The sequence below is a fragment of the Homo sapiens genome, chromosome 10, assembly GCF_000001405.40.
Source record: "Homo sapiens chromosome 10, GRCh38.p14 Primary Assembly".
Taxonomy (NCBI): domain Eukaryota; kingdom Metazoa; phylum Chordata; class Mammalia; order Primates; family Hominidae; genus Homo; species Homo sapiens.
Window position 1 is genome coordinate 109,648,722 of NC_000010.11, and position 11,818 is coordinate 109,660,539.

Genomic DNA, 11,818 nt, shown 5'->3' on the forward strand with positions numbered 1-11,818 from the left:
TGATGAAATGGCTTCAGATCATGTAAAATCATTATCAGATGAATGTGTTTAAAATCCAGAGTGCCTTATTTAGTTGAATATCTGAGTTCGAGATCAGTCTGGCCAACACAGTGAAACCCTGTCTCTACTAAAAATACAAATATCTATCTGTTGTTGTATCCATAGTTTAATGAGAAAATTAATGATGAAATGACTTCAGATCATGTAAAAACATTATCAGATGAATGAGTTTAAAATCCAGAGTGCCTTATTTACTTGAATATCTGCAGGCAGTAGGAGAAAAAAAATTAGAAAAAAATTACAGCATAAGCTAAGTTCAGCATTGAAGGACACAGACAGAGCATTTCAGCAGAAGCTCTTACAGAGCAGAAAAAAATAGGCAGCAGTCTCAGCATTGGTAAGGGATGTCTCCTCCTACCAGCAAGAGACTGTCAGCAGCCCCGGGGGGCAGACTGTGTCCTGTGCTGCTGTGTGTCAGCCCCTGTGCCTGAGTTCACAAGGAGGTGATTGCTGATTGACCAGAAAATTGGCACATCTGAAATATGATAACTGAGTATATTGGTTTTCTATCAGTGAGTGTGTTTGAGGGTGGCAGAAATTTGTCATTGCTTGGAGTCTTTATACTAATAACCTATGATAAAAACTTCTTTGGGAGTTTTAAGTTTTTCAAGAAAATGTTGGGCCAGGCGCAGTGGCTCAAGCCTGTAATCCCAGCACTTTGGGAGGCCAAGGCAGGTGGATCACCTGAGGTCAGGAGTTCGAGATCAGCCTGGCCAACACAGTGAAACTCTGTCTCTACCAAAAATACAAAAAATTAGCCAGGTGTCGTGGCATGCTCTTGTAGTCCCAGCTACTCAGGATGCTGAGGCAGGAGAATAGCTTGAAGCCAGGAGGCGGAGGTTGCAGTGAGCCAAGATTGTGCCACTGCACCCCAGCCTGGGCCAGAGGAGCGAAACTCTGTCTCAAAAAAAAAAAAAAAAAGAAGAAGAAGAAAGAAAGGAAATGTTAAAATTAAATTGTTTATTGATTCAATTATGTCCATCTAATATTAGCTAAATGCCTATTGAAGTGTTTGTCCTTTCATTTAGGAACACAAAGCTCACTTCAGTTTTCATGGAAGTGAAAACAGATTACCCCGATTGTAGTAGTGCCTGAGCCAACCCCAGTTGCTTCATGAGTTCTACTTGCGAAGTTGCACCATCTTCCCTGAGACTGGCCTTGCCTCTGAGCCTCACTTCTGACCTTTTAGGGCAGGCTCCTTCCTTACTCCTGAGGTGTGGCCTTCCTTTTTTCTCAGCTGGACACCTACCCAGGTGTTAACGTGTTGTCTTCACTCTGGCCCAGCTGAAGGAACTCCATCTCCAGCACTCCTCAACCGCTAAGATCTGTGATCAGTGCTCAGGCCCCGTGTTCTGTGAAGATCACCATAGTCTTGTCCTGCATCTGTGTGGTCCATCAGCAAATGACTAGTTTAAAAAGCTCCCCAGACTTCAGATCCCCTGTGTCCTTCTCCCCAGACTACATTACCTTTGTGGCTCTATACTCAATGTCCGGCTTTCCTATCCACAGGCCTGCTCTGCTCTACTCCAGCCCCTGGGCTGTATCACAAAAGGTCCCCAGGAAGAGTCTGGGCTCACCTGCTGAGTTTCCATTCACCCTGAGATTGCAGTCTTGCTCTACCTGTTGTCCAGTGCCTGAAGGCAATTGCATCATGGTTTATTCCATTTATATTGACTTTTGGTGAGGTTATTGTATTTGCTTTTTTCAGACAAGGATTAGTCTGGTGCCAGTTCCTCCCTCCTGGCCACAAGCAGAAGTTGATGTATTTATTAATCTTTTTTTTTTTTTTTTTTTGAGATGGAGTCTTGCTCTGTCAACAGGCTGGAGTTCTGTGGTGCAATCTTGGCTCACTGCAACCTCCGCCTCCCAGGTTCAAGCGATTCTCCTGCCTCAGCCTACTGAGTAGCTGGGACTACAGGCATGCACCAGCACACCCAGTTAATTTTTATATTTACAGTAGAGACAGGGTTTCACCATATTGGCCAGGATGGTCTTGATCTCTTGACCTCGTGATCTGCCCACCTCAGCCTCCCAAAGTGCTGGGATTACAGGCGTGAGCCACCATGCCCAGCCAAATTAATCTTTTTTTAATTAGAAATACTATTTAATGCTGCTAAATTTCTTTTTGCTGGCATTTGAATTTTGATATTAACTAACCCTATACCTGTCTGTGTCCCTCACCCAAAACAAGGAATAGTGATTAAACTGTTCCTCAACCCATCCCTGAATCTCCGATCAAGGTGATTTTGAGCATTCAATGACTGTGAAGGCTCCAACTAGGTTAGTTATTCTGTAACACTAAAGACTAATATAGGTAGGAAAGGTCCCAAAGACTCACTTTGTTTCTTTTTGCTTTAAATTCAGTGGTTTTATTTTCTCTCAGTTTCAGTGTCATTTCTACCTCCACCTCTCAGATCTTCGTCCTAATGCCCATGGTCTTCCTACACCAAGACTCTTTTCACAATAACATATTGACTCCAAATTATTTTGCATTTTGGAGAAAGGGTGATATTCCATAAATAAAGCAATAAATAAGGAAAAATACTGTGACGTCTCAAAGTAACCTCAGCCAGCCAAAGTAAATTCTTCATAGGGTAATTGTGAACAACCCATGAGATAATTTGTATGAAGTGTCTAGCACAGCCCCAGGCATTTAGCAGGTGCTCAGTAAAGACTTGTTGAATAATTAAGTCTCAGGAAAATTTGATAAGCAAAGACTTGACTCTATTTTCACCATGACAAAGGAGACCCAAGCTCTTAATCACAGGGAAAGTCACAACAAGACTCTCCTTGGTCACTCTTTCATTAAATTTTAGATTTATTTTTTCTTCTGGAATAGCTTTCTTCCTGTAAGAAGCACATTTAGTGTTATTCCATTATGCCAAGAAATTTGAGCCAGCAATTTTCAGAGTAAACTGTGACTCAGGACTAACTGCAACTCGTGAATTTTGACCCCAGGTTCTTCCTGAGACTAGGACCCAACAGTATGGCCACCGACGATGTGATGCATTTCAATGATTCAAAATGCGTGCTTGCAAGTCATGATGTTGTGGAACTTGTTCCCGCCATTATAGTAATGCCAGGTAATGCCCTGGTGCACAGTAGCATTTATTAGCCATTCCCCATAAGAGAGTTAAGAGTAATCAAATGTTCTTGTGTCAGCACATAAAACAAATGCCTGCAGGAGCAGAGAGCAATCTTCTTTCCATGGTACAATTACTGTACAATTTTCTGGTTGTCTTTAATATTGGAGTTTTGAGGAACTGTTGATTCTAGGGACAGAAAGAACTGCATAACTGGATGAGGCAACTTTAACTCCAAATAATGCACACCTCAACAAAACTGGCAAGTCCACCTCCCCACTTGGCCACAGAATCTCTGCGTGCTAGTCTCCAAAGGACTAAAGATATATTTTCACGGTTCCCAACCTTTTTTTAAAAAATCGATAAAAGACTAAAAATTAATCTTGGATAGATTCTTTTTATATGCAAAATAGGCACAAGATAAGCACTCCATTGAAGCTCTGAACTTTCATTTTAGTTCCTCCAGCTACTAAATTTTGAAATATAAAATTAAGAGGGTGGAGCCAAGATATCCGAACAGGAAGAGCTCCAGTCTACAGCTCCCAGCGTGAGCCACGCAGAAGACGGGTGATTTCTGCATTTCCAACTGAGGTACCGGGTTCATCTCACTGGGGAGTGCCGGACAGTCAGTGGGTGCAGGACAGTAGGTGCAGCGCACCGTGCGTGAGCTGAAGGAGGGCAAGGCATCGCCTCACCCGGGAAATGCAAGGGGTCAGGGAATTCCCTTTTCTAGTCAAAGAAAGGGGTGACAGACGGCACCTGGAAAATCGGGTCACTGCCACCCTAATACTGCACTTTTTCAACGGGGTTAACAAATGGCACACCAGGAGATTATATCCTGCACATGGCTCGGAGGGTCGTACGCCCATGGAGCCTCGCTCATTGCTAGCACAGCAGTCTGAGATCAAACTGCAAGGCAGCAGCGAGGCTGGGGGAGGGGCGACTGCCATTGCCAAGGCTTGAGTAGGTAAACAAAGCAGCCAGGCAGCTCGAACCGGGTGGAGCCCACCACAGCTCAAGGAGGCCTGCCTGCCTCTGTAGGCTCCACCTCTGGGGGCAGGGCACAGACAAACAAAAGGCAGCAGTAACCTCCGCAGACTTAAATGTCCCTGTCTGACAGCTTTGAAGAGAGTAGTGGTTCTCCCAGCATGCAGCTTGAGATCTGAGAATGGGCAGACTCCCTCCTCAAGTGGGTCCCTGACCCCCAAGTAGCCTAACTGGGAGGCACCCCCCAGTAGGGGCGGACTGACAACTCACACAGCCGGGTACTCCTCTGAGACAAAACTTCCAGAGTAACGATCAGGCACAGCATTTGCGGTTCACCAATACCCGCTGTTCTTTAGCCACCGCTGCTGATACCCAGGCAAACAGGGTCTGGAGTGGACTTCCAGCAAACTCCAACAGACCTGCAGCTGAGAGTCCTGACTGTTAGAAGGAAAACTAACAAACAGAAAGGACATCCACACCAAAAAGCCATCTGTACGTCACCATCATCAAAGACCAAAGGTAGATAAAATCACAAAGATGGGGAAAAAACAGAGCAGAAAAACAGGAAACTCTAAAAATCAGAGCGCCTCTCCTCCTCCAAAGGAATGCAGCTCCTCACCAGCAACAGAACAAAGCTGGATGGAGAATGACTTTGATGAGTTGAGAGAAGAAGGCTTCAGAAGATCAAACTACTCTGAGCTAAAGGAGGAAGTTCGAACCAATGGCAAAGAAGTTAAAAACCTTGAAAAAAAATTAGACGAATGGCTAACTAGAATAACCAATGCAAAGAAGTCCTTAAAGAACTGGATGGAGCTGAAAACCAAGGCACAAGAACTACGTGATGAATGCAGAAGCCTCAGTAGCCAATGCGATCAACTAGAAGAAAGGGTATCAGCAATGGAAGACGAAATGAATGAAATGAAGCAAGAACAGAAGTTTAGAGAAAAAAGAATAAAAAGAAATGAACAAAGCCTTCAAGAAATATGGGACTATGTGAAAAGACCAAATCTATGTCACGTCTGATTGGTGTAACTGAAAGTGACAGGGAGAATGGAACCAAGTTGGAAAACACTCTGCAGGATATTATCCAGGAGAACTTCCCCAATCTAGCAAGGCAGGCCAACATTCAAATTCAGGAAATACAGAGAACACCACAAATATACTCCTCGAGAAGAGCAACTCCAAGACACATAATTGTCAGATTCACCAAAGTTGAAATGAAGGAAAAAATGTTAAGGGCAGCCAGAGAGAAAGGTCGGGTTACCCACAAAGGAAAGCCCATCAGACTAACAGCTGATCTCTCAGCAGAAACTCTACAAGCCAGAAGAGAGTGGGGGCCAATATTCAACATTCTTAAAGAAAAGAATTTTCAACCCAGAATTTCATATCCAGCCAAACTAAGCTTCATAAGTGAAGGAGTAATAAAATACTTTACAGACAAGCAAATGCTGAGAGATTTTGTCACCACCAGGCCTGCCCTAAAAGAGCTCCTGAAGGAAGCACTAAACATGGAAAGGAACAACCAGTGCCAGCCACTGCAAAAACATGCCAAATTGTAAAGACCATCAAGGTTAGGAAGAAACTGCATCAACTAATGAGCAAAATAACCAGCTAACATCATAATGACAGGATCAAATTCACACATAACAATACTAACCTTAAACGCAAATGGACTAAATGCTCTAATTAAAAGACACAGACTGGCAAATTGGATAAAGAGTCAAGACCCGTCAGTGTGCTGTATTCAGGAAACCCATCTCACATGCACAGACACACATAGGCTCAAAATAAAGGGACGGAGTAAGATCTACCAAGCAAATGGAAAACAAAAAAATGCAGGGGTTGCAATCCTAGTCTCTGATAAAACAGACTTTAAACCAACAAAGATCAAAAGAGACAAAGAAGGCCATTACATAATGGTAAACGGATCAATTCAACAAGAAGAGCTAACTATCCTAAATATATATGCACCCAATACAGGAGCATCCAGATTCATAAGCAAGTCCTTAGTGACCAACAAAGAGACTTAGATTCCCACACAATAATAATGGGAGACTTTAACAACCCACTGTCAACATTAGACAGATCAACGAGACAGAAAGTTAACAAGGATATCCAGGAATTGAACTCAGCTCTGCACCAAGCGGACCTAATAGACATCTACAGAACTCTCCACCCCAAATCAACAGAATATGCATTCTCTTCAGCACCACACCACACCTATTCCAAAATTGACCACATAGTTTGAAGTAAAGCACCCCTCAGCAAATGTAAAAGAAAAGAAATTATAACAAACTGTCTCTCAGACCACAGTGCAATAAACTAGAACTCAGGATTAAGAAACTCACTCAAAACCGCTCAACTACATGGAAGCTGAACAATCTGCTCCTGAATGACTACTGGGTACATAACGAAATGAAGGCAGAAATAAAGATGTTCTTTGAAACCAATGAGAACAAAGACACAACATACCAGAATCTATGGGACACATTCAAAGCAGTGCATAGAGGGAAATTTATAGCACTAAAAGCCCACAAGAGAAAGCAAGAAAGATCTAAAATTGACACCCTAACATCACAATTAAAAGAACTAGAGAAGCAAGAGCAAACACATTCAAAAGCTAGCAGAAGGCAAGAAATAACTAAGATCAGAGCAGAACTGAAGGAAATAGAGACACAAAAAACCCTTCAAAAAATCAATGAATCCAGGAGCTGATTTTTTGAAAAGATCAACAAAACTGATAGACCACTAGCAAGACCAATAAAGAAGAAAAGAGAGAAGAATCAAATAGACGCAATAAAAAATGACAAAGGGGATATCACCACGGATCCCAAGAAATACAAACTACCATCAGAGAATACTGCAAACACCTCTATGCAAATAAACTAGAAAATCTAGAAGAAATGGATAAATTCCTCGACACATACACCCTCCCAAGACTCAACCAGGAAGAAGTGGAATCTCTGAATAGACCAATAACAGGCTCTGAAATTGAGGCAATAATTAATAGCTTACCAACCAAAAAAAGTCCAGGACCAGATGGATTCACAGCCAAATTCTACCAGAGGTACAAGGAGGAGCTGGTACCATTCCTTCTGAAACGATTCCAATCAATAGAAAAAGAGGGAATCCTCCCTAACTCATTTTATGAGGTCAGTATTATCATGATACCACAGCCTGGCAGAGACACACACAAAAAAAAGAGAATTTTAGACCAATATCCTTGATGAACATTGATGCAAAAATCCTCAATAAAATACTGGCAAACCAAATCCAGCAGCACATCAAAAAGCTTATCCACCATGATCAAGTGGGCTTCATCCCTGGGATGCAAGGCTGGTTCAACATATGAAAATCAACAAATGTAATCCAGCATATAAACAGAACCAAAGACAAAAACCACATGATTATCTCAATAGATGCAGAAAAGGCCTTTGGCAAAATTCAACAACCCTTCATGCTAAAAACTCTCAATAAATTAGGTATTGATGGGATGTACCTCAAAATAATAAGAGCTATCTATGACAAATCCACAGCCAGTATCATACTGAATGGGAAAACTGGAAGCATTCCCTTTGAAAACTGCCACAAGACAGGGATGCCCTCTCTCACCACTCCTATTCAACATAGTGTTGGAAGTTCTGGCCAGGGCAATCAGGCAGGAGAAGGAAATAAAGGGCATTCAATTAGGAAAAGAGGAAGTCAAATTGTCCCTGTTTGCAGATGACATGATTGTATATCTAGAATACCCCATCGTCTCAGCCCAAAATCTCCTTAAGCTGATAAGCAACTTCAGCAAAGTCTCAGGATACAAAATCAATGTGCCAAAATCACAAGCATTCTTATACACCAATAACAGACAAACAGAGAGCCAAATCATGAGTGAACTCCCATTCACAATTGCTTCAAAGAGAATAAAATACCTAGGAATCCAACTTACAAGGGACGTGAAGGACCTCTTTAAGGAGAACTACAAACCACTGCTCAAGGAAATAAAAAAGGATACAAACAAATGGAAGAACATTCCATGCTCATAGGTAGGAAGAATCAATATCGTGAAAAGGGCCATACTGCCCAAGGTAATTTATAGATTCAATGCCATCCCCATCAAGCTACCAATGACTTTCTTCACAGAATTGGAGAAAACTACTTTAAAGTTCATATGGAACCAAAAAAGAGCCCGCATCACCAAGTCAATCCTAAGCCAAAAGAACAAAGCTGGAGGCATCATGCTACCTGACTTCAAACTGTACTACAAGGCTACAGTAACCAAAACAGCATGGTACTGGTACCAAAACAGAAATATAGATCAATGGAACAGAACAGAGACCTCAGAAATAATGCCGCATATGTACAACAATATGATCTTTGACAAACCTGACAGAAACAAGCAATGGGGAAAGGATTCCCTATTTAATAAATGGTGCTGGGAATACTGGCTAGCCATATGTAGAAAGCTGAAACTGGATCCCTTCCTTACACCTTATACAAAAATTAATTCAAGATGGATTAAAGACTTACATGTTAGACCTAAAACCATAAAAACCTTAGAAGAAAACCTAGGCAATGCCATTCAGGACATAGGCATAGGCAAGGACTTCATGTCTAAAACACCAAAAGCAATGGCAACAAAAGCCAAAACTGACAAATGGGATCTAAATAAACTAAGGAGCTTCTGCACAGCAAAAGAAACTACCATCAGAGTGAACAGAACAACCTACAGAATGGGAGAAAAATTTTGTAACCTACTCATCTGACAAAGGGCTAATATCCAGAATCTACAATGAACACAAACAAATTTACAAGAAAAAAACAAACAACCCCATCAACAAGTGGGTGAAGAATATGAACAGACACTTCTCAAAAGAAGACATTTATGCAGTCAAAAGAGACATGAAAAAAATGCTCCTCATCACTGGCCATCAGAGAAATGCAAGTCAAAACCACAATGAGATACCATCTCACACCAGTTAGAATGGCGATCATTAAAAAGTCAGGGAACAACAGGTGCTGGAGAGGATGTGAAGAAATAGGAACAGTTTTACACTGTTGGTGGTACTGTAAACTGGTTCAACCACTGTGGAAGACAGTGTGGCGATTCCTCAGGGATCTAGAACTAGAAACACCATTTGACCCAGCTATCCTATTACTGGCTATATACCCAAAGGATTATAAATCATGCTGCTATAAAGACACATGCACACTATTCACAATAGCAAAGACATGGAACCAACCCAAATGTCCAATGATGATAGACTGGATCAAGAAAATGTGGCACATATACACCATGGAATACTATGCAGCCACAAAAAATGATGAGTTCATGTCCTTTGTAGGGACATGGATGAAGCTGGAAACCATCATTCTCAGCAAACGATCACAAGGACAAAAAACCAAACACCACATGTTCTCACTCACAGGTGGGAATTGAACAATGAGAACACATGGTCACAGGAAGGGGAACATCACACACCGGGGACTGTTGTGGGGTGGGAGAGGCGGGAGGGATAGCATTAGGAGATATACCTAATGCTAAATGACGAGTTGATGGGTGCAGCACACCAATATGGCACATGTTGTGCAGATGTATTCTAAAACTTAAAGTATAATAATAATAAAAAATAAAATAAAAAAATAAAAGCATTTCCACTGGAAAAAAAATATATATATATATATAAAATTAAGAAGTCACTTACCTTCTCTAAGCCTCTGCCTCAGGGATGATTCTGTTTTGTTTTCTTAATCTTAGAATGAAAAATAATGCTTGACTTTAGGATCAAGAATGCTAACATTTGAGAATATTTTGTAAATAATAAAAATACCATACTCATCTAAGGTATTATTATTACATGAAAAGGTAAACACAATGTAAAGCATGATGAAACTATAAATGAATGGTTTAAGTTATAGTTATAAAGAAAGAAAATGATTTTAGGTAGTTTATACAAAGACCCTTTTCTGTCTATTCTTAAATTCCCAAAGGTTAGGATTTCTCATTTCTCATAGCTGGGGTGTTTAGAATAACACTAAATATGGTCATAGATCAAAGATGACACATTGATTTCCTCTGAAATACTGAGATGTTCTGCCTGAAAGGATGGGTTAATGAGAGTTTTGAGGTAACTCAGCACTCATCAGGGAAGGTATGATGGGAAATTAGTGATGTCTGCTATGAGTTGAAGATAAGAATAATGCATATTTTCCTTTCCTGTCAGATTAGTTTTACTTCTTTGTTTATATTGCCCCTTTTCTCTTTCCCAAGTTTTCTTTCCTAGGTCCTTAGCATTAGGATATAAGACATTTCACAGGATAGCTGGAGACCACCATTAGCAAAACTGTCAGATGGCACTGGGGATTTAAAGCTCAGGAGTTCTACTACAGTGTGTGCCTCAGTCTTCTGAGCCATGCTAGCTGTTTTTAGTCCCTGCTAGCTGGCCAGCCATCAGGGGCATTCCTCCATCATACACTGTCTCCTCTATACTGCATCAGGTTTAGAAAATCACCTCAGATGATGATGATCCATTATGGTTCACATCAACTGGGATCTGACAAATCCAATGCTATAACATTGTAAATGTTATCTTCCTTCTCTCTGATACATTTTCAACATGAATTCATGTGTGCTGATATGATTTGGCTGTGTCCCCACCCACATCTCAACTTGAATTTTTGTTTTGTTTTGTTTTGCTTTTTAAGATGGAGTCTCGTTCTGTCACCCAGGCTGGAGTGCACTGGTGTGATCTTGGCTCACTGCAACATCCACCTCCTGGGTTCAGGTGATTCTCCTACCTCAGCCTCCTGAGGAGCTGGGACTACATGAACATGCCACCAAGCCTGGCTAATTTTTGTATTTTTAGTAGAGACAGGGTTTCACCATGTTGGCCAGGATGGTCTCAATCTCTTGACCTTGTGATCCACCCACCTCGGCCTCCCAAAGTGCTGGGATTACAGGTGTAAGACACCGTGCCCGGCCCACCTCTTCTTTATATACCTGGTAGAATTAGACTGAGAATCTGTCTGGTCTTGGACTTTTTCTGGTTGGTATTATTGGTCCATTCAGGGTTCCAATTTCTTCCTGGTTCAATCTTGGAAGGTTGTATGTTTTCAGGAATTTATTCATTTTTGTAGGTTTTCTAGTTTGTGCGCATAGAGGTATTCATCATAGTCTCTGAGGGGTTTGTGTATTTCTGTGGGGTCGGTGGTAATGTCCCCTTTGTCCTCTCTGATTGTGTTTATTTGGATCTTCTCTCATTTTTCTTTATAGTCTGGCTAGTAGTCTATCTTATTTATTATTTCAAATACCAAACTCCTGAAATCATTGTTCTTTGGGTTTTTTTTTGTTTTTTGTTTTGTTTTGTTTTGTTTTGTTTTTTGCATCTCAGTCTCCTTCAGTTCAGCTCTGATTTTGGTTCTTCCTTGTCTTCTGCCACCTTTGGCATTGTTTTGCTCTTGTTTATCTAGTTCCTGTTAATGTGATGTTCAGCTGTTAATCAGATCTTTCTAACTTTTTCATGTGAGTATTTAGCACCATAAACTTTTTTCCTCTTAAGACTGCTTTAGTAGTTTCCCCCAAGATTTTGGAATGTTGTATCTTTGTTCTCATTAGTTGGAATGAATTTACTGATTTCCAGCTGAATTTCACTCTTTACCTGAAAGTTACTCGGGAGCAGGTTTTTATATTTCCATGT

The 11,818-nt window shown here is 41.1% G+C and overlaps 1 annotated feature.

Annotated features, from left to right (window-relative positions):
- Positions 4,008 to 4,507: an enhancer, noted in NCBI's record as "H3K4me1 hESC enhancer chr10:111412487-111412986 (GRCh37/hg19 assembly coordinates)". NCBI's record gives its function as "activates a minimal SCP1, AML or CMV promoter by ChIP-STARR-seq in naive H9 embryonic stem cells {active_cell/tissue: H9 hESC(naive)}" and the evidence as "EXISTENCE:reporter gene assay evidence [ECO:0000049][PMID:30033119]".